This window comes from Homo sapiens, chromosome 6 (genome assembly GCF_000001405.40).
Source record: "Homo sapiens chromosome 6, GRCh38.p14 Primary Assembly".
In the NCBI taxonomy this organism is placed as follows: Eukaryota; Metazoa; Chordata; class Mammalia; order Primates; family Hominidae; genus Homo; species Homo sapiens.
In genome coordinates this window covers 132,461,395-132,482,847 of record NC_000006.12, presented here as the reverse complement: position 1 = coordinate 132,482,847, position 21,453 = coordinate 132,461,395, and the positions used below count along the sequence as shown (strand labels likewise).

Sequence of the window (21,453 nt, the reverse complement as noted above, 5' to 3'; positions counted from 1 at the left end):
AATCAAGTCTGTGGAATCTTGGCAGTTCATAAAACCCAGAGAAAGAGCAGGCGTTTCTTCCTTGATCACTTTCAGCTGGGAAGAAGGATCCTTGTGATCCACTGCCAGACCTAAACTTACTTTGAGCACTGCTGGAAACATCTAACATCTCAATTCAACTCCTTCAAATTACTTCTTCAATCTAGACACACTTATTTTTTCTTTGTTTGCTTTGTCAACTGTCACACACCTGGATTATGAAATAATGTGTTTTAACATCTTTTACTTTCAGTCCTTTTAGCACATTGAAAAAAGTTTTTTGAAAACCAAGAAATCTACATTCTAACCCTAGCTCTTGTACTAAATAGCTATAGTTTTTGGAACAAGTTATTCTGTCTGGTTCTCAACTTCTTTGTTTATAAAATAGGATTGAACTAATACCGTATAATATTTTTTCCAAATTTGATTTAGTAGTTTCAGATTTATGTTCCTATAAGCCCTTTATCACCTGATCAGATGATGCCTTTAATTGATCCTCAAGTGTAGACCTGCTCAATTTAAAGGAATGCAACCAAATTAATGTTCACGTTCAGAAGCCCTCTCGCTGTGCCTGGTACGTAGCAGATGCCCAGTAAATGTTTGTCGAGTGAATCAATGAATGAATAATAAATGGGCATAACTACCTTTCTTAACTCTCCATTTATTTATGCTGTATGTTTTAGAAATATATATTATTTCTTACGTACGTTTTGATCTTCCCAGTATTCTTTTTATGGTTCACTCATAAAACTATTCATTGAGGGTCAACAATATGATAAATTCTGGAAAAACCAAAATGAATAAAACTTAGGCCTTGCCTTCAAGAAATTTGCCTTCTAGTTAGGGTGACTAATAGGTATTCTGATCATTTCAGTGTAGGTCTGAGTATGATATTAGAGGTTTGAATCTCCAAACTGAAATGTCCTATTTCTTACCCTTCAAACCATTACAAATGCCACCTTCATTACAGCTTTTTGGATTGTCCTCCAATAGAACACACATATTATAGGTCATTGTTTGAAACATTGTTATAGCATTTGTTGCTGCTGCACCCTCTTTGAGTTTATATGGTGTTTGTACTTTTGGGGTTTTTTTGTCCTTTTCTAGTTTGTATGCTGCATAAGTGTAGGGGGCCTTGTCTTCCATTTCTGTTCATGAGAAGCTCTCATTAGTTAAATGCATTCTATTAGGCAATAACATAATGGTTGTTTTCTGAGAGGCTTCATTTTATGAGACATTGTATTATCTTAAAAAATTGTTTCAGAGTGACAAGGAGGTTGTTAGCCAGAGCCTTTGATTTTTAAGAAATTTCAGTATCTATAAAACCTAAATCTACAAAACCAAAAGCACAGAGTAAATGTAGCTTTTGATTATAACTAGATTGTTAGTGATAGTGACTAATACTTTCATTATTAATCACCTGTATGATAATGAAGGTAAGCAATGTTCAAAGAATCTTAAAACAGTTTTGTTGCTTTAGCAACCAGTTTTTTTCCCCCTCCAAAGATTGGCTCTGTGGTGCTACTTCTCAGTGGTCATATTATAACCAAAAAGATCCCAATCTAATAGTAGTTTTGGGTATTAGGTGGCCCAAAATAAATTTCACTATAATTTATCCCTTTTGTTTTCTACAGTGAACACGCCTCCTTTTTTCATACCTAAGCTTAAAAACAAAAGCTCCTGCGTGACACACTGCTGCTATCCCTCATGCAACGAGAACTCCTTTCCCATTTCCACAGAAGGGATAAAACTGAGGTCTATTCAGTTCCTGTAGCCAATGCCAAATTTAGGGGGTGATTTCCTGTGTGCTCCTCCTCTTTCAGCAAAACTGAACAGCAGTATTCCTTAGCCTGTGGAACAGTGTCTCAGAGTAACCACAAATGGTACATTCTATATATAACAGTGGAGGAAATAGGGAAGGAGACGAACAGTTAATATATCTAAATATATACATTGCAGAGCAAGAAAAAGAATACTGGCAGGTGCTAAGTTACCACTCTACAACTGATCACAGGCTGCAGTTTGTATTACTATTTTCCTGTTATAATAACCATTCCACTTTCCTCTTGCCTTCTTTCAGCACCTCTGCTGTTTGGGATAACCCAGATTTTCAGCCCTGGGTCCTTGTTGCTCCTGCTCACAGGCTATGTGGTACTCACTTTTATGAGTGAAGATGGCAGTATTATCAGGCCCCCTCCAGTTCATCTCCCTTTTACTTGTGTATGAGCGTACCCCAAATTCCGCTTAATAATTACCTCAATCAACATACTACCTTGGCCCTAAATGACCAGTTGTAGTCTTGAAAACGTGATTGTTTTCCTCCCTTGGATGTTGTCTCTAAGTCACCTTGAGAGATGGAAAAAATTGTACAAATGGATAATTAGGTGTAATCGTGAAATATTGGACTTTACTTCGACCTGTTACTTCCCAAATCCAAGTTTCTTTCTGGCTGTAGGTGAAACAGCACCATGGAGTGGTGGTTCTTTGAGACCATAAGGATCCTTCAGTTTCCCAAGATGCTTGTCTCCCAGGTGGTGCCAGGATTGAGTCTCAGTAGGCCGTAAACATTCTAGAAGTCCAGCAGCTTCTAGATAACAGAATACATGGCAGAGCAGTGAATCCCATTGTCCTTGGAACACCGTTAATTTTTTTTCTCTGTAATTTCTTGAGCAGAAGCATCGGTGTGTGGAACACCTTGATTGTGACTAATAGGTGGATTAGGAGTCTGGTAGAAGCATGGGGTCGGGGGAGTGGGGACGGGCCACAGGGGGCACAGTGGGTGCTTAGAGGATGCATAACAGAACCCAGAGTAATACCATTGAAGTGAATATAAAATTCTGCCTCCTCCAAGATGGAAGGAGCAGCTAGTTGGGTCAACCCTCAACAACGGCACATCACTAGTTTACTTTTTATTTTTAAATTAGCACGTTATTGAAAGTGTTTGTAAAGATAATTAGCCATAGAAAATAAAATGGGTAAAATCATCTCTGTAGAGCGTATGGATGTGCATCTGGGAAGTCCAAAGGATGAATGAAAAAATTAATACAAAAAATCAAACAAAAATGATTTAATAGAGTATAACATGAGATTGCTATTGCTGCAAATTGGTGTACGGCAATACCCATGGTCATGTCAGTCTGAGTAAGAGGAAATCCATATTGTTGAGTCTATATGTGGCTTTTGTTCTGACAGCCATTGCTAGTTTATTATTTCACTGAACAAGTGCTTCAGGAGTTGGGGTGAGGGATAGGCTGACTGACATACGTAGAGCAAAATGTAGAAAGGCTGTACCAACAAGATACAATTCATGGTGAACAGCTAGAGTCACTTGGTTACCTTGTACCATTGTTTATTCTATCCAGGGCTCAGTAGCAAGGCCAGAACAAGTCTCAAAAGGAAGGTTTTGCTCCAACATTCTAAGGGACCCCTGTGTTTTTCCTATTGGGATTTGCTACTAGTTTTCTTCGGTGCCCTGAAATTGCACAGGCTTGATGTACCATTGCATCAGCTGGGTCATTAAAGCCAAGTTGTAGATCTGCTTATACCACCACTTGAACTCGCTGGATGGTCTTTTCTTTTTGGGAGTTGAAGCTAAAGCTGGTAACCTTTGGGTCATTCAGTAAAGGGTGGAAGCAGCATAAAAAGTCTGTTTCTCATTTGTACTTGAGGCTACAAAGAAAAGCACTTTGCAGAAGTATGCCAGTTATCTACAGATTAATTCACCAAGATTTTTCACTGAGGAAACACTGCCCTGTATTTTCATGGATTTATTTTCTACCTGCTGGCTTACTTATGCTTTGCAGGCATCTAAGAGTACATGTTGCCTCCTGCTTTTCTGGTCCTAAAAGCAGACGTAACCAGTGTATTGGACTAATGTAGTGTCCTGTAGGAGGAGATGATCCGTATCCTTGACAACGAAATTGTAGTACAAAGATAGACAGTGTGCATAACCGTGAGATAAGCCTGTGAAGGCTCGCTGATGTCCCATCCCATTGATAGCAAATCCTTTCTCATGTTCTCTGTCCTTTAGGGTAGAGCAAAAAGTATTTGCCATATAAGCAGGTATATACAGGTTGCTAGAGATTGTGATGCTCTGTTGTAGTAAATCCATCACATTTTGAGGAACAGTGCAGTTGGAGTCACCACCTGAATAAGCTTTTGCTAGTTATCATGAGCATTAGCCTTCTGCATTCTCCAGATAGGCCGGTTAAATGGGAATGAGAGGCATGTCCACTCCCTGCTCTTTCTGTCCTTGATGGTGGCATTTCTGAGTAATTCCCAGGGAATAGATAATGCCCTTGGTTTTATTTTTTTATTAGAGTGGGTCCCCAGGGGCTTCCAATGATTTCTTCCTTCCATAAGAGCCCTTACTCAGGGAGTATGAGTGAGAACTGGGGGTTGCTCAGTATATCTGTTCAGAAACCGGAAATTACCACATGGTGGAACTAGGCTCCCATTGGGCCTGTCAGAATCCATTTCTACTCAATTCTTTAATTGGCTGAGTAATTTTATATAGCATTCATGTGGTGTACTTGTTTGTACTTTGCAAAATTGATATGCATTTCGGTCCTTTTTTTGCTATTCAGTTTATTCATGAATATTAAAGTTCCTATTCTTGGCCCATTTTTCTTTTTTTTTATTATACTTTAAGTTCTGGGATACATGTACAGAACGTGCATGTTTGTTATATAGATATACACGTGTCTTGGCCCATTTTTCTACTGGATTGTCTGACATTTTCTAAATTATTTATAGTTATTGACTATTGCTCCCTCTTTCTTATATATTATGTAGTCTTTACCTTTTGTTTTTAAGGCCTTTGATTGTAATTATATTCTCAACTGCTTTTCATAATTTTTACCAATCAGAAACATAAAAGTTTAATTATCAGTGAAGTTGAAGTTTTGTTATGTACACATTTGCCTTTTGTAAATTGCAAGATTATAACCTTTGTCCATTTTTTACTGGGCTGTTGTTCTGTTACCAAAAATAATTACCATTGTAGTTTAACCTCTTTCCTCATCATAACCTGCAGTTACTGTCTCCTGTGTGTATATGAACACACACTTACATATATACTTGTGATATATGTACACATTTTTTGTATAACATTTAACCAAGTTATTTTATGTAGTCAAATTTGTCAATATTTTCCTCTGTGGATTTTAGTTTTGTGTCATGCTTAGCTAATATTTTATATCTCTTACTCCAAGATCATGTATAAGATCATATAATAAAAACATTTATATTTCTTAGAGCAGTTTAATATTTTCAATTTTACTATTTAAATTAATGGTTTATTAAAAATGTATTTTGCTATATGCTGGGAGGTAGGGTTCTTTCTCCCCTGCCCAAATGGTTAGTCAGTTTTCCTGGTGTCATTTATTAAATAATTTATTTTTTCTCACTTGCTATGATTTTTTCCTAAAGAACAATAACACTTTAGAGTTGAGATAAATACCTGCCAATAGTCTATCGATGCCCATACTACAGTTTGTATTATCAATACGCTTAAGAAAATAAAGCCCCTATAAGGCAGTTCAAGAAAATCTGTTGAGGTTGAGAGGGAATATATAGCTAATTATAAGCAGCCATAAGTTAAACACGGCAAACAAAATTTGTTTGTCTTATGAAAGGAAAAATCAACCCCCAAAAAGCAAAAATAAATTCCTATTAAATTAGCCAAATGCTAAGAGTTGCTATATGCTTTGATTCTTCTCTAGTGTTTCTGTTTTTCAGCTTTCACTTAAAAGCAGTATTTATTACATCATTCGCGGTGACCAAAATTATCCTGCATTTTGTAATACTTTATCATTCCCTTGAGCATGTAAATAATGAATAGTTTTAAAGCATTTAAGCTATATAAGTAAACCACTCATTTAAATAAAAAGAATGAGGGGGTTAGATTGTTAAGAGTTCTTTGGATTTTCAGCTTATTTCTACTTGACGTTTTATTTATGTACCATGACATTTTATTTATGTCCCCACATACATAAAACTGTAGGTCCTCCCCTTTTGTGTAGAGCCTTTTTTAAAAAAATTGCAATAGTCATAGACTTCCGGATTGTGAGTTTAACATGACTTTTAAGCCCTGGACTTTTTATTTTAAAATCTTTTCTAAACCTCACAAAATATATATATAAGTATATAGTACAATGAACCTTTCACCTGGATTTGCCAGTTGTGGGCATTTTTCAACTTTTGTTTAATGTGTTTTTTACTTTCTGTATTCAAATTTCTCCAGTTGTCCCTATGATTTTCTTTATAGTGCTTGCTTTTTTCCTGATTCAGAATCCAGTCAAAAATCATACAGTGTCTTTTGGGTATTTTAATTCCTTAATTTAGAAAGCACCTCTGTCTTTGTCAACTTTTTTTTTCCCTTTTGTGACATTGACGTCTTTAAATGCCCAGGCAAGTTATCTCGTAGATTGTCCCACAGTCTAGACTGGTCTAATTTCTTTTTGTGATTAGATTCATGTTAAATATTTTGGCAAGAAAAATCCTCAGATCATATTGTGGCTTTCTCGCTGCAGCATGCCACAAGGTTCATAATGTCAGTTTTTTCCATTCTCACTGCTAAATTTGGTCATTTGTTTTCAGACAACAGATTTATATATGATAAAGTTATATCTTTTGTAATTAATGTCATCTGTGTGGTGGTAATTTAAGTTGTATGAATGTCCTGTGATTTTAGCATTTTTTGATGACCTTGCTGAAATCAGTTATTACATGGATAATTGAAAAATGATTTTTTGTAATTCTATTCCTCTCATTTATTAACAATAACTTATTTATATTATATTCTAATGAAATATGTAATTGTTACTTATTTCCTCACAATTTTTATGCTAGTAGTGTTAAAGTCTGTGTGCCCTTGTATTTACTTAATAATATCCTGATGGGATAAGGAAGAAGATAGTATTTTTGGGTCATAAGTGCATTTTCACAAGTTAACATTCTCACACAATTTCCTCTTGAAAATTTTTGTTACTAATTAGATTTAAGTAAACCATTTAGTTATTCTTTTTTCCAGTTAATATTTTCTATTTTCATCTTTGTTTTTCTGTCTCTTTTCAACTGCCCAATTGCTTGTACATATTAATTTTTAACTCTTTCTGTTACCTTAACTTTTGTGACAATTAATACATGAATTTTCTATTATAATAGCTGTGGAAATACAAAGAACTCTGAATCAACTTGGAACACCTCAAGATTCACCTGAATTGAGGCAACAGTTGTAAGTATCTAGTTAAATAAATAAAAGAGAAAGAAAAAACTCTATTGCTATTATTCTGTTGCTTTTACAGTATGTAGTATATTATGTTTACTGGAAGAAAAAATGGAAAAACAATGGAGTTTTTCTGCTACCTTATCCATACATTTGTACCAAGCTTTTGTGTAGATTTTTCCCTGTCTGGAGTAGGCAGGTGTTTTTATATTAAAGATCTGGAAGACTGAGGTGGGCAGATCACAAGTTCAGGAGTTCGAGACCAACCTGGCCAATATGGTGAAACCCCGTCTCTACTGAAAATAAAAAAATTAGCCAGGCGTGGTGGCGAGCTTCTGTAGTCCTAGCTACTCAGGAGCCTGAGGCAGGTGAATCTCTTGAACCCGGGTGGCGGAGGTTGCAGTGAGCCGAGATCACACCACTGCACTTCAGCCTGGGCGACTGAGCAAGACTCTGTCTTAAAAAAAAAAAAAAAATTCCTTGATAGGCTTACCCTATCAAAGCAGAATTTCTTTAGTTGCATTTCTTACAGTTTTTAGGTAGGTTGTTTTTGACAGCTGTTGAAAAATTATACTCTAGTATCTCAATTTATGTGATTTACTTTCCATAGCTAAAAATCCCCGCAGTCACCAGAGTTTTATTTGGTTTAGATCCAATACATAACCAGCTACGTGAGCTGTCTCCCCACAAGTTTATACCTACATCCTTGAATTTCAGAGAGCATTAGCTTCCGTTTAAAAAAAAGTTATAATGAATTATATAGTACATATTCCAGTAAATTAATATGCTGTTAGAAGACCAGCAGTCATAGTGATAATATTTTGTCTGTGGTATGTTGTGGATTTTACAGAGTATTTTTACATATTTTATCATTTAAACCTTACAGAATTAGAGTAAGAGAAATAGACCAAAAGAACTGTTTCCATTTTGTTCATGTCTCTTACGGGTTTAACGAGTTACCCAATGTCATTTAGAACTTAACTCTTAAATTTTATTTCAGTACTGTTACAGCTGTAAATTTCAAGTCACATATATCTAGTAAGCAATACTTCTAAACAACATTAACTATAGAGGGAAAACTGCAAAGAGGACGATATTAAAAGATAGGTAATAGGAATTCATATTTTTAGGAAGTACAATTTGAAGGACTTACAATTATCTCTAATTTATATTTTATTTTTCCACAGTGGGTAAGTGTCAGAATGGTAAAAATGCTCCAAATCTAAATAATAAACCACAATTCATTAAACTAAAGTAAAATGGAATAGAAGTACATAATTCATAAAAGTTCTAATATTTTGATAGAGTTAATAATGAAGATTCTGAATATATATCCGTAGTCACTAAGGATTTTTTTTTTTTTTTTTTTTTTTTGAGACAGGATCTCATGCTGTCACCCAGGCTGGAGTGCAGTGACATTATCACGGTTCACTGCAGCCTGGACCTCCTAGGCTCAATCGATTCTCCCACCTCAGCCTACTGTGTAGCTGGGAATACAGGCACATCCACCATGCCTGGCTAATTTTTGTATTTTTTGTAGAGATGGTGTTTTGCCATGTTGCCGGCACTGGTCTTCAATTCTGGGCTCAGACAGTCCACCCACCTCACCCTCCCAGAGTGCTGTGATTACAGGCATGAGCCACCATGTCCAGCCTAAGGTCTTCTTTTTAAAACTTTGACTATATTATGATTTCCAGAGATTTACAAAAATGCATTAAAGATAGGGTATTTGGTAAATAGAGATAGAAATAGATTTTAATTACCCTTTGTCAGTCAAATACAGATCCCTATTCTTAAGCATATTCTTATACAATATCTCATTATTTTAAAGGACCCCAAGTGTGACCAGACCATATTTAAAATGAGATGAAATATATAAGAGGTACTGATGTTGTGATTTGTAAAACATCACAATTAATATGAGCTTTTTTTTAGTGTCATGTTTTTAAGTTGGAAATCTTTTCAATTTATAAGATAGCTAGATAAAATATGGATATGTAGTCAGCACTCTGTATCCATAGATTATATATCCCCAGATTCAACCAACTGCAGGTCAAAAATATTCAAGAAAAAAAAAAAAACAACACAATAATAAAAAAAAAAACTGAACTATAAAATATAGCAACTATTTACATAGCATTTACATTATTGTATTGGGTATTATAAATAATCTAGAGATGATTTAAAGATATGGGAGGATATGCATAGGTTATATGCAAATGCTATACCTTTTTATATCAGGGACTTGAGCATCAGCGGATTTTGGTATCCACAGGGGTCCTGGAACCAATCTGCAGATACTGAGGGATGACTATAATTTACTTCTTTTATTTATTGTGTTCTTTCCCTTTACAAGGAAATGCCATTATTTTTTCCAGCGTAAACTTAAATAATAGTAAATTTGTACCAATATTGCCTCTTTCCTTTTTATTTTTATTTTTTGAGACAAGAGTTTTCCTCTGTTGCTCAGGCTGGAGTGCAGTGGTGCAATCTCAGCTCATTGCATCCTCCACCTCCCATGTTCAAGTGATTCTTCTGCCTCAGCCACCCAAGTAGCTGGGATCACAGGCATGCTCCACCACACCTACCTAATTTTTGTTATTTTTGGTAGAGATGGGGTTTCGCCATGTTGGCCAGGCACGTCTCAAATTCCTGGCCTCAAGTGATCCGCCTGCCTCGGCCTCTCAAAGTGTTGGGATGACAGGTGTGAGCCAGCATGCCTGGCCCCTCCCCCCCGCCTTTTTTTTAAGTATCTATAGCATATACATGTTCACATAGAGAAATAAGAGAGGCCAGATATAACTAGATCTGGGAACTGGGCAAAGTCTAAGGTAACAAATCTTTTCTTGCTTACCTGACCTTCCAGGTGTGAGATGCAGATAAAGGGCTTCCACATCCCCAGTATCTCAAACATAAAGGATCAGACATCTAACAGTCTCTCCTTCAGGTTCCCTCTGATTCAAGTCATCTGTGTTTCTAAATGGCCGTTGAATTGATTTCTCTAAGCTTGCCTACCCTGTGTGAGTGAAGAACCTGACATATAATATTTGCTCATTATTTATCAAAGAATAGGATATGAAATTTTTTTTGATAGAGAAAGTTGAGAGCCAGTTTATGAAAAGGCAATTTTTGTACAACTGTTTATCAGTGTTGATTCAAAAGGCAGAGTTGAAGCTTAAAGAAGTATATTAGTCCTTTGGCTGTAATGCGTGTTTTCTCACTTTAGGCAACAGAAGCAGCAGTATACTAACCAGCTTGCCAAAGAAACAGATAAGTACATTAAAGAGTTTGGATCTCTGCCCACCACCCCCAGTGAACAGGTATCAAGCTTTAAGACACATTGTTGATGTATTGAATGTGAAAAAAACCCAGTGCACTGTAGGATCTTTGAACTGTTACGCTAGAAAGGAAATTATGCTAGAAAGGAAATCAAAAATAATTCTGTTTGAGATTAGTTCACAGAACACAAAACTATATTTAATTGCTCAGGTAGTATCCTGTGGTTCAATAAAGCAAAAATTATTTCCATGCATTTGCCCTGACCCATAATTAAGTTAGTTCTCAGAAAATGCTTCCTGAGTAATTATTTCCTGGCCTTCCGGGGCTGACTGCGTGGAACATGCAGGCTCATTCAAGATGTGAGGTGTCCTGGGGGCACATATTTATTTCCCTGCTTATTTAATGGAAGTTATTACTTAGCTAAAAGTATAAGGCTTTATTTGCCTGAAAAAGAATTACTTTAAAATAGCCTCAAAATAATAAGCTAGTTTTTAGCAGCGTGAAAACCTGAGGTGAGAAATCCAGCATAATGGGTCTTTTGCCTCAAGTTAAATATGCACAGTATTTGACATACTATCAGAATGTTACTGAGAGTTAATCTGTAAGGCCCTGTAATTGGGGAGTAAGTGAAAACTTCAGGGTTAAATAAAGAGCCAACTACCGCAAATTCAGTTGAACTTCACAGCTAGATTCTAGTTGGCTTTTTCTTCTCTTTCCTCTAGCGTCAAAGGAAAATACAGAAGGATCGCTTAGTGGCAGAGTTCACAACATCACTGACAAACTTCCAGAAGGTCCAGAGGCAGGCTGCTGAGCGAGAGAAAGAGTTTGTTGCTCGAGTAAGAGCCAGTTCCAGAGTGTCTGTAAGTATTTTAAAAGACATTCTAGAAATGAACATGGTTACTTGCTAAGGGTCCCATAAAAGTCTATAGTAGCATAATTTTTTAAGTCATAAAGATCTGTGAATATCTTGGAAATCAGCTCTTGAATATTTATTTTTATGCTTTCCTGCTCCATTTTTAGAAAAGGATGATAATTTTGTATTACGGTGGTGATTTTTTGTGTCATAGTACAGAAGATTACAGAGTATATAAAAATATAGAGACATATTTTGTCAAAAAAGATTAGGGATCAAATCCTGAGTAGTATTCTCACATCGTCTTGGTACTGAGGCTTTCTGCTTGTGTACACGCTAGTGTAGAAAGCACTTTCCTCCTGGATTACACCAAGATGACGGAGATGAATGGCGCAAGTATGTTGTATCAATATTGAAAATGAACATGAGCCTGGAGAAAATAAATGAAAGGAAGCTTTACAATAGAATTTTGAATTAATCTAATTTTAAATTCCCTTAGAAACTATCATGAGTTATTTTCTTATTCATTAACATATGGATTCCAAGACTACATTAAGCTTTAACTAAATAATACTTATTTGATCCTTGAGAATATTTAGTGAATTCCTTTCTTGTCTACTTAGAATATAAAATTACTTATAATTATATTATTACTTGAAGCAGTTGACCTGAAAAATTAGAACAAGAACTTCTTTCTCTCTGTCTCTACACACACACACACATACACACAGACACGTACATAAATCAGTTTAGTTTATTATAAGGGAAAATATGAGTGTTTATTTTTTCTCATTTTTGCTTTTTTTGCCCCTTCTCATTCCATCCTGTTACTAAATTATTCAGGGCAGTTTTCCTGAGGACAGCTCAAAAGAAAGGAATCTTGTATCCTGGGAAAGGTAAGAAATACAAAACATTTTACAGATCAAAAGGTAATTTTTCAAAGTTTATACATTAAGGTCCCTGGAACAGAATTAAAGCTTTCAATATATTATATCATAAATATCCTAAGTTGTTTATATGTTGAAAACAGAGTAAATTTGAAAAAAATTTTAAGTAATTATAAAGTATTTATTACAAAATATATAAAGTTTTCCAAATAAATGTTTATGGACTTAATTATTAATATAGACATTCCCTTATATGAGGTTTAAATCAGCTGAGAAGAAATACCCAGTTGACAGATACAGCTTCCAATAATTAAGTAATAACTCTAAACTCACATTAGCTAAAATGATATAAGTGAAATGAAAAATGAATAAATTTTATTAATATATCTGTTATATTCTTAGAATTTTTTTGAGTAGTTCTGTGACTTTGGAGAATAAAATATCCTATTTAATGAATATATCTTAAATAGGAAATGAGTCCCATTGTTTTGAATACCAATCTTTGTTTTTTTCCACATTCATTTTTTTCTGTTAGCCAAACTCAACCTCAAGTGCAGGTGCAGGATGAAGAAATTACAGAGGATGACCTCCGTCTTATTCATGAGAGAGAATCTTCTATCAGGCAACTTGAAGTAAGGCTTACATTGTAGACTTGGGCTGCTGCTCTGGTCTTAGTGAGTTTGTTCTCAAGATGCTTAGGTAATGCTGGGAGAATGCATGAGACAGAAAAATTTTGTTTTCTTTTTGAGACAGTCTCCCTCTGTCACCCAGGCTGGAGTGCGGTGGTGGAATCTCGGCTCACTGCAACCTCCGCCTCCCAGCTTCAAGCGATTCTTGTGCCTCAGCTTGCTGAGTAGCTGGGATTACAGGCACGTGTCACCCCACCTGGCTAATTTTTTGTACTTTTAGCAGAGAAAGGGTTTCACCATGTTGGCCAGGCTGTTCTCAAACTCCTGGTCTCAAGTGATCTGCCTGCCTTGGCCTCCTAAAGTACTAGGATTATAGATGTGAGCCACCATGTCTGGCCCAGAGAAAGAAAATTAATGTATCAGTTTGGTAGCATTTGTAATGTATGAGTTGGAATAATTCCTTTTTTAAAAAAATAATATTGTCCTTACTGTTTGTGCTAGGACGAGGGATCATACTCCCTCCTACTGCAGCTTTTTAAAAATTATTATTGTTATATCAAGCCATCTATGGACCACCTTAGTATTGAGAAAATACCAGTGTAGAGATAAATGTCTGTCCAAGAGTCTGGATGTCTTCCCAGAGCACATGATACACATCATACCTGCATGAGTAAGACCTTTTATAAGGCCTTCAAAGAATTTTATTTCTCTTTACTATGTTTATGACATCAAAGAGATCTAAAGGATTTATTAAGTCATAGTTCTTATGGAACCTACTTAGTTCCTAGAAAGAAGGCTAATAATAGCTAACAATGGCTACAATTTATTGAAGACCTTCCATGTGCCAGGCACTTGTGGGATGAATTCTTTATGTTAATTATCTCATTTAGTCCTTATAAAAACTTTATGAAGCAGTTAATTGTGTCATTGAAGAAAAGTAAATTTATATTTAATCACCAAGTTTATAACTTCTTTATTCAGTAGTGACATTTCACTAATCCACTGCATGTTCAAATTATTAATGTGAGACTTTAAATTTACACCTAATGTTTTATTACTTTAAATTGTCAAATTGATGTGTAAATTTTACTAGAAATACATGCTAAGAATATTTTATACCCTTGTAAGTAGATACTGCTTGTGATAACAAAACTATCAGGTTGTATAAAATGAACTCAGCAATCCATGGCTCTTCTCTATTATAGATCCTTCATTTCCATTCATTTCCATCCTGCCTCGCTCACTTGGTATTTTTAATGCCACAAACTGATTTTAGAGAACTGGTGGCTATTGTTCAAATTCTTCTTAATTATTGTCAAATATTTTCCTGATATTTCCAAAGTTTATGTATTATATTTGTGTATTATAGATGCATGCTCACCCATGTGTGAGTAGTGGTTTGGGTTTTTAAAATTTTTCCTCTTTTATGGAATGGGGACTGAATTTCTGATTATAATAATATATGCGTTTTCTCTTAGGCTGATATTATGGATATTAATGAAATATTTAAAGATTTGGGAATGATGATTCATGAACAAGGAGATGTAATAGGTAAGACCTGCTGACTTAGATTTTGGAGGTGAGAGCAAGCTACATGCACTTTACCTGCTGTAACTTTCTCACAGAAGAGTAACCACTTTCTGTCCCTTTTTTGGTTTCCCTGGAACCAAAAGCATGGTCTATAAAACACAGTAAGCATCACCCTTGGCATTATCTAAAACAGATCTCATTTTTAACTCGTGCTGGTTGAAATAACCAGCTTCATTTATTTCAGAAGCCCAAATTTAATCAGGGCCTATTGCTGCCAAGACCATGGAAGGCACCATGAAACATTATTCCAGCTTATTTCCAGGGCCTCTGGTTTTAGTCTTACTCCAATTTATTTGTCATCATGCTAAGCACTTTTGGGGAAACTTGTGGTATATGTAACTGTGCATGACATCTTGTCTTTTAGGTATTAGGGAATAGGTAGACATTTGCCTAATCATTCATTTTAATAGCTTTTTGGTAGATGAATTTAGTAGTATTACATAGAAGTTAGGAATTCTTTTTAGAAGTGATTTTCTTTTCTAAAGTTGCTAAGAATCCCTTAAGTATTGAATGTAATAGCATTTCAATTAGGGTGTAGTTGTTAACATTCATCAGGATCCTGACCATCTTGAAGTCTGGAGCTATGTATTGGTATGTCTAAAGATGCTTTTAGTATATTTTCTGAATTTGGTCCAACTGAAATATTTGCACCTTTACTTCAGTGTAACTATTTTTTATCCATTCTTACCCTCCTCTGTATCCCCAGTAGATCACAGGGTAAAATTTCAAAAACCAATTTATTCATCATCCGAAATATGTTGAGTGGCTACTATGTCCAGACACAAATCTAGGCATTGGAGATTCAGCTGAAATTAAATAACAGATAAAATACCCTATCTCAATTGATCTTATAATGGGAGGAAAGACAATTTTTTAAAAAGGCGAGAAAAGCAAGTAAATGGTGATAAGTGCTATGGAGAAAATAAGGCCAGGGTAGAGGGATGGGACTGCTAGGGGTGGAAATTGTTGCTGCTTGACACAGGGTAGTTAGGTATGATAGGTACTTACTGATAGGTAACATTTTAGTGAACCCTTGGTAGATTTAAGGGAGCAAGTAAGAGAAAGTGTTCCAGGCAGAGAGAACAGCGAGTACAAAGGCCTTGAGGCAGAAGCATACCTGACATTTTTAATGAGCAAGAAGGAGATGGAGATCATGTCCAAGTGCAGGGGATGATGTCAGGTAGGAAGATTTCAGTTTTTACAAACGAATGAGAAGCCAAGGAGGAGTTGAGCAGAAGAGTGCTATAACCCTGCTTCAGTTTCGAAAGACTCACTTGGCTGCTGGAAAAAGACCAAAAGCAAGGAGGTCACCTAAAAGGCTATTGCAGTCATCCAGATGCTCAATCTTGTTGGCTTGGATTAGGATGGAACTAGAGGGATGGTGAGAAGTTCATGGATTTCAGATATTTTTTAAGTGGACAGCCGAAAAGATTTACTGACTGGCTGGGTATGAGTGTGAAAGAAAGAGTTAATTTAAGGGTGATGCTAAGGTTTTAGCTTGGCCCACTATGATGGTGAAGTTACTGTTTTCTGAGATGGGGAAATCTGTAAGTGGAGCAGGCTTAGATGGGTATAAATCAATCATTTTTGAATATGTTAAGTTTGAGGTGCCCCTTTACACCAAGTGAAGGTTTTCTTGACATTATTAAAGTGAACATGGAGTTCAGGGGAGAAGTCTGGGCAGGGGATCTAAATTTAGGAGTGATCTGTGTACACATAGTATTTAACACCACAAGATTGGGTGAGATAATCCAGGGATTAAGTCTGGGTAGAGAATAGAAGGGGTCTGAGGACTTAGCCCTGGATCCTCTAAATGTTTAGAACAGTGTCTTCAAACTACATGTATTCATTTATGTATGGTTTATGGTTGCTTTTGCACAGTGAAGGGGTAGCTGAATACTTGTAACAGAGATCATACAACCCACAAAGCTTATTCATTTTCTGGCTCTTTGCAGAAAAAGCTTCTTAACCTCTGATTTAGAGCCCAGACAGTTGAAGAAGAACAAATAAAAAGACTAAGGAATAGCCAGTGATATGGAGGAAATCCAAATGAATGCATCGTCCTAGAAGGGAAGTGAAAAAAAGTGCTTCCAGAACAATAGATGGTCAGCTGTTTCAAGTGCTGCTGTTAGGCCAAGAAAAATGAGGATTAAGATTTGACTACTGGATTTAACAGTGTGTAGGGCATAGGTGACCTCAATACGAGCTGTGTTGGTGAAATAGTGTAGGTGAAAGCATGATAAAAGTAGGCTCAAGAGAGAATGGGAGGAGAACAGTGGTGGATACCAAGTATAGATAACTCTTTCAAGGAGTAAAGAGGGGAAGTGAAACAGAGAATGCAGTCATAGCTGCAAAAATGGATGTGGAATAAATGAGAGGTTTTTGGTTTGCTTGTTTTTAAGATGGCAGCTATGGGATTGATGAAGGTGATCTACCAGGGAAAGAAATACTGATGATAAGTAAGAGAGAGAGGAAGTTTGCTGGACTGAGGTTTTTGAGTTAAATGATAGGAAATGTGATAAAGTGCACAAATGGAAAATTTGGCTCTTGCTCGGGGTATATAGTTCTTCCTGGCAACAAGAAAGTTGTCAGAACACACAAATATTGCATGTAGATAGGGTCATGAAAACGTGTGGAAATGTCTTCTGATGGTTCCTGTTGCTTCAAAGAGCTGGAAATCAAGGTCATGGGCTGAGAATGATAATGCCAGAGGAGGCCTGAGAAGCTTGAGGAGAGAAGAGAAAGTATGACGTAGTCTTTCAGAAGTCAGAGAAATGAAGTAGACCTGCTTGGCAGTCATGACTTTAAAGTGAAACACAGTTAATCCTTTTTACATCCATAATCAGCTGCATGGGTACTGGTTGGGGTTTTGTCATATGACTAAAGTGGAGGGGCAAGGGGGCTAAGGATGAGAGTAAGCTGAGGCTAAGTGATTGTCCAAGGACTCTAAGGCTAGGGTAAGGAGGGAAGTGAGGACATGCCATATGTGAGGGACAGTGAAGAAGTGGTAGGATCAATGAAAGTTGAAAATTGTTGGAGCCAGGGAATTAGAAGGAGTGAGCTCTAGAGATAGAAGGTGGTGATCAAAGAGTGAGACCCTTGAAATTGAGATTATGGAACAACTGCAATTATTGGAATGTCAGGGTTTGGGATGTGACCATGGAAATGGGTGGGTGAGGAAAGGTGTTCGTCTTTGGAAAAAGTATGGTCAGTGAACTGTGAGGCCAGGGTGTTAGAAGGGTCAGCAGTTGGATCTTGAAGTCACCAGTATGTATAAGAGAAGTGTTGGAGAGAGCATCAGTGAGTCAGAGGCTAAAATATTCAAGGAATGAGAAGAAAAGGCCATGCGATTGATAGATGTCTGCAACAAAGAGAGTTGGCTGAGTTTGATAGCATGAGCCTTAAAGCTGAGAGCTGGTAGGGAGGAAGAGACAAGGGCAAAGGGTCTCATGCTTCAAAATGACACCCGTTCCACCTCCAGGCCCCTGGAGGGTGGGAAGAAAAACTGCCACCAATTGAGAAGGCTTCATGGGCCCTCGGTGAGGGCTAGATTTTAGCACAGAAGTATGTTGATGACCACAGAGTAAATGGCCTTCAGCACTCTGTATTTACCTTAAATAAACATTGTCACATGCTTGCTACTGAGTCGGCCATTACAGAACACAAACTAAGTAGAGCATAGGTATTATGCTCCAGTAACTTAAATTACATTCCATTTACAAAGACATAGAGGGAAAAGAAATTGAGAAACATTAATGACTAACATAATGATTAAGGGATCAAGTTTTAGCATTTGGGTTTTTCTGTTTGTTTGTTTCCCTCTGAGGACATAATATTCTTTGAAAAGTCAAGGTACCAGTTTTTATCATGATGAACAAAATCTTCAGCAGTAGAAAGAAGAGAGTTGATCTCTTGTGCATTGGTCTTGACATAGACCAAGCTGTGGAGTTTGACACTGAGACATCTCTTGTGCTGACACTGATTTGATAATGTCAGGGTGACAGTACTTTTCAGGGGTTGCCAGGTAGAGCTGGAGTTGCTCTGTAATGAAGATGATTAAGGTTCTGTTATACAAATGCTCTTATATTGTTTGGATCACCTGAAAAATAGTATAGGTGTATACTATAATTCTTAAAGCCAGCTTAAAAAAATTCAACTTTATGATATACTACTATTAACCTTTGAATAATGACCATATTTAATCTTACCTTGAATGAAATTTAGTGATTTGTTACTGGAGCATCAATCCATGTTTAACACATTTGTGTGTGTGTGTTTTATTTTACAGATAGCATAGAAGCCAATGTGGAAAATGCAGAGGTGCACGTTCAGCAAGCAAATCAGCAGCTGTCAAGGGCAGCAGATTATCAGGTAATTTAACTGTGATCAATTTTCTTATAACTTATCCTTTTCGTATGTGTGTGTGTGTGTTTGTGTTGAGGAAGCAGGGAGAGATTAGGTTTAAAATGGCTGAAGATGTTAAAATTTAAAATCCCATGGAAGAGAAGTCTGTTTAAATAATACCAGTCAGTTTAGAACTGTTTTTAGCCTGTGTTCTTCTCAGGGTTGAACCAGAATTGTTGGCCCACAGGGAGAGAAAGTTTAGTGTTTGGGCGGCAGAGACAATTCTAGGCTTTCTGATGGCCGGGGATCTCTGATGTCATTGTGACATTTCTACCCAGAAACCTTTTTGTGATAGGCCCCTCCTTCCCATTTCTTGCTGCTCCCTTTTACTTTTTCTTTCTTTTTGTCAGTGACACACTGGACTAAAGAGGCAAATTTCCTTGTCCTAGAGAGATTGCTTCAGGTCTTGTGGAAATCATATTAGCTTGGAGTGTCACTGTTCATTATATATTCTGTCCACATTCAGCAGACCCTTCACCAGGAATGAATTTATTTCTTGAGTCGGGTTAATATAGGGAGTCCACATGCATGTGTCAAATATAAATTATATGTCAAGTACTATACAAATATTAGAACTATCAACTATTAATACATCATACAATATGCAGACCTTTGATGTTCAAATTGGATAAGGCCAGGCTCTTTGGAAACCCCTAAATACCATGTAGCATTTGATTTCCTTTTTAAAACTCCATTCCTTTGTTGCTATCATTCATAATTATCATTTTCTTGACCTTATTAACTTTTTTTTTGACACAGAGTCTGGCTCCGATGCCCAGGCTGGAGTGCAGTGGTGTCATCTTGCCTCACTGCAACCTCTGCCTCCTGGCTGAAGACATTCTCTTGCCTCAGCCTCCCGAATAGTGTGTACCCCCACGCCTGGCTAATTTTTGTATTTTTTGTAGAGATAGAGTTTTGCTGTGTTGCCCAGGCTGGTCTGGAACTCCTGGGCTCAAGCGATCCACCCATCTCAGTCTCCCAAAGTGCTGAGATTACAGATGGGAGCCACCATGCCCAGCCGCTGTTAACTTCTTATAAAATATCTAAGATATTGTCACCTTCTCAGACATTTTCAATTGCTTTTTGTTTTTCTCACTAACCTTAGAAGTTGCCTTTATTTCACAGTCCATCTTTTACTGGACAAATTACTGCATATTCAGTGATAAGTAAATAATAATGAAGCTATGGAGATTGCTGAGTTATAACCAGTTGTATTCACTGACAGTCACTCCTGTTTATTATCTTTGTCCATGTCATTCAGATATGCAGCTCAGTGAAATTAATATCACTATATCACTGTGTCATGGACTTTAGGTATCCCTCACGAATAATTGAAAACACACACACACACACACACACACACACACACACACACACCCCTGCAAATGCCAGAAGTCTTCTGGAGCTGTTAGCATATAACTGCTGAAACTTAACAGGATCCATCAGTGACTAGGTTCACATGGTATTTTATTTTGCTTTTGGATTTGGGGGAAATGTGGATATTCTGCCAAGTTTTACTCTTCCTCTTCCTTGTGGAAGGCCAAGCCTACAGGAAAAAGCACATGTCCCAAGCTACACCCCAGGACTGGAAGCTGCCCCTAGGCTTAATTCCCCCAGCTCCCGAAGCGGGACGAGATGGCCATGCAGCACAAGTGCTGAGAAAAGAGGCAGCTTTCCAATAGTTCTGTTTGGAAGCCTTGATATGTTTGGGTGAACCCTAAGAATAAGGAAGGTGAGAAATTCAAGTTCACTTATCACCACATTGCCCCAGGGTCTCATTACCCCACGCTAGGGGGAGTACCCCAGGCAACAAACACACCATTGTGGGATACCCGTGATGACTCACAGGTACATTACATGTGTGTTTGTGGTAACCAACTGGAGTCTGGGAAAAATATTTATGCATGGTATTGAAATTTTAGAGAAATTGTGTTTGATACGTAAGGAGTATTCACTGGAAAAATTAGATGAATATGTGGAATATTCAAACTATTTATGGTTTTCAGTGTAATTTCAGACTCAGAAATGTATCTTTTTATAAATATTTTGGTACTTCTACTTGACACAAAGTAAATTTACAAATTTTTCTACTTTGTAAGAAAAAGGATTCCTGCATGTTGATGTGAGGTACAAACGCCATTAAAGAAATCTACAACTGAACCAGGAATGAAGAACGGAACAAAATTCTTAACCATTCGGTTTTCAATGACAGCATTATGATTTTGTTTGCTCTGTGGTTTTGTTTGTTGAGATTTTGAATGTAGTTTCCCATTAATATTAAAGAATGAGAATGATTTTGGAAACTCATTCCAAAATCATTGTATTTTGGAAACAAGAAATATGTGTGAGGGGCTGGGCGTGGTGGCTCACGCCTGTAATCCCAGCACTGTGGGAGGCCGAAGTGGGCAGATCATGAGGTGAGGAGAATGGGACCATCCTGGCCAACATGGTGAAACTCCGTCTCTACTAAAAATACAAAAAAAAAATTAGCTGGGTGTGGTGGCACGCGCCTGTAATCCCAGCTACTTGGGAGGCTGAGGCAGGAGAATCTCTTGAACCTGGTAG

At 36.9% G+C, this 21,453-nt stretch overlaps 1 protein-coding gene across 5 annotated transcripts in view, besides 1 other annotated feature; it reads left to right on the top strand.

Annotated features, from left to right (window-relative positions):
- STX7 (syntaxin 7) overlaps nucleotides 1-21,453 on the top strand; it is a 67,606-nt gene that overhangs the window by 30,625 nt on the left and 15,528 nt on the right. For 3 of the 5 annotated variants that reach the window (NM_001326579.2, NM_003569.3, NM_001326578.2), the window contains exons 3-9: nucleotides 7,186-7,255; nucleotides 10,473-10,566; nucleotides 11,248-11,385; nucleotides 12,222-12,274; nucleotides 12,801-12,897; nucleotides 14,373-14,445; nucleotides 18,773-18,855. In NM_001326579.2, coding sequence (NP_001313508.1) covers nucleotides 7,186-7,255; nucleotides 10,473-10,566; nucleotides 11,248-11,385; nucleotides 12,222-12,274; nucleotides 12,801-12,897; nucleotides 14,373-14,445; nucleotides 18,773-18,855 — 608 coding nt within the window. Of the gene's footprint in view, nucleotides 1-7,185; nucleotides 7,256-10,472; nucleotides 10,567-11,247; nucleotides 11,386-12,221; nucleotides 12,275-12,800; nucleotides 12,898-14,372; nucleotides 14,446-18,772; nucleotides 18,856-20,987; nucleotides 21,375-21,453 lie in introns of those variants that run through there. The other 2 variants (NM_001326580.2, NR_137169.2) reach the window with 2 other exon arrangements.
- Nucleotides 17,024-17,318: a silencer, noted in NCBI's record as "tiled region #15532; HepG2 Repressive non-DNase unmatched - State 15:Elon". NCBI's record gives its function as "represses a minimal TATA promoter and a strong SV40 promoter by Sharpr-MPRA in HepG2 cells {active_cell/tissue: HepG2}" and the evidence as "EXISTENCE:reporter gene assay evidence [ECO:0000049][PMID:27701403]".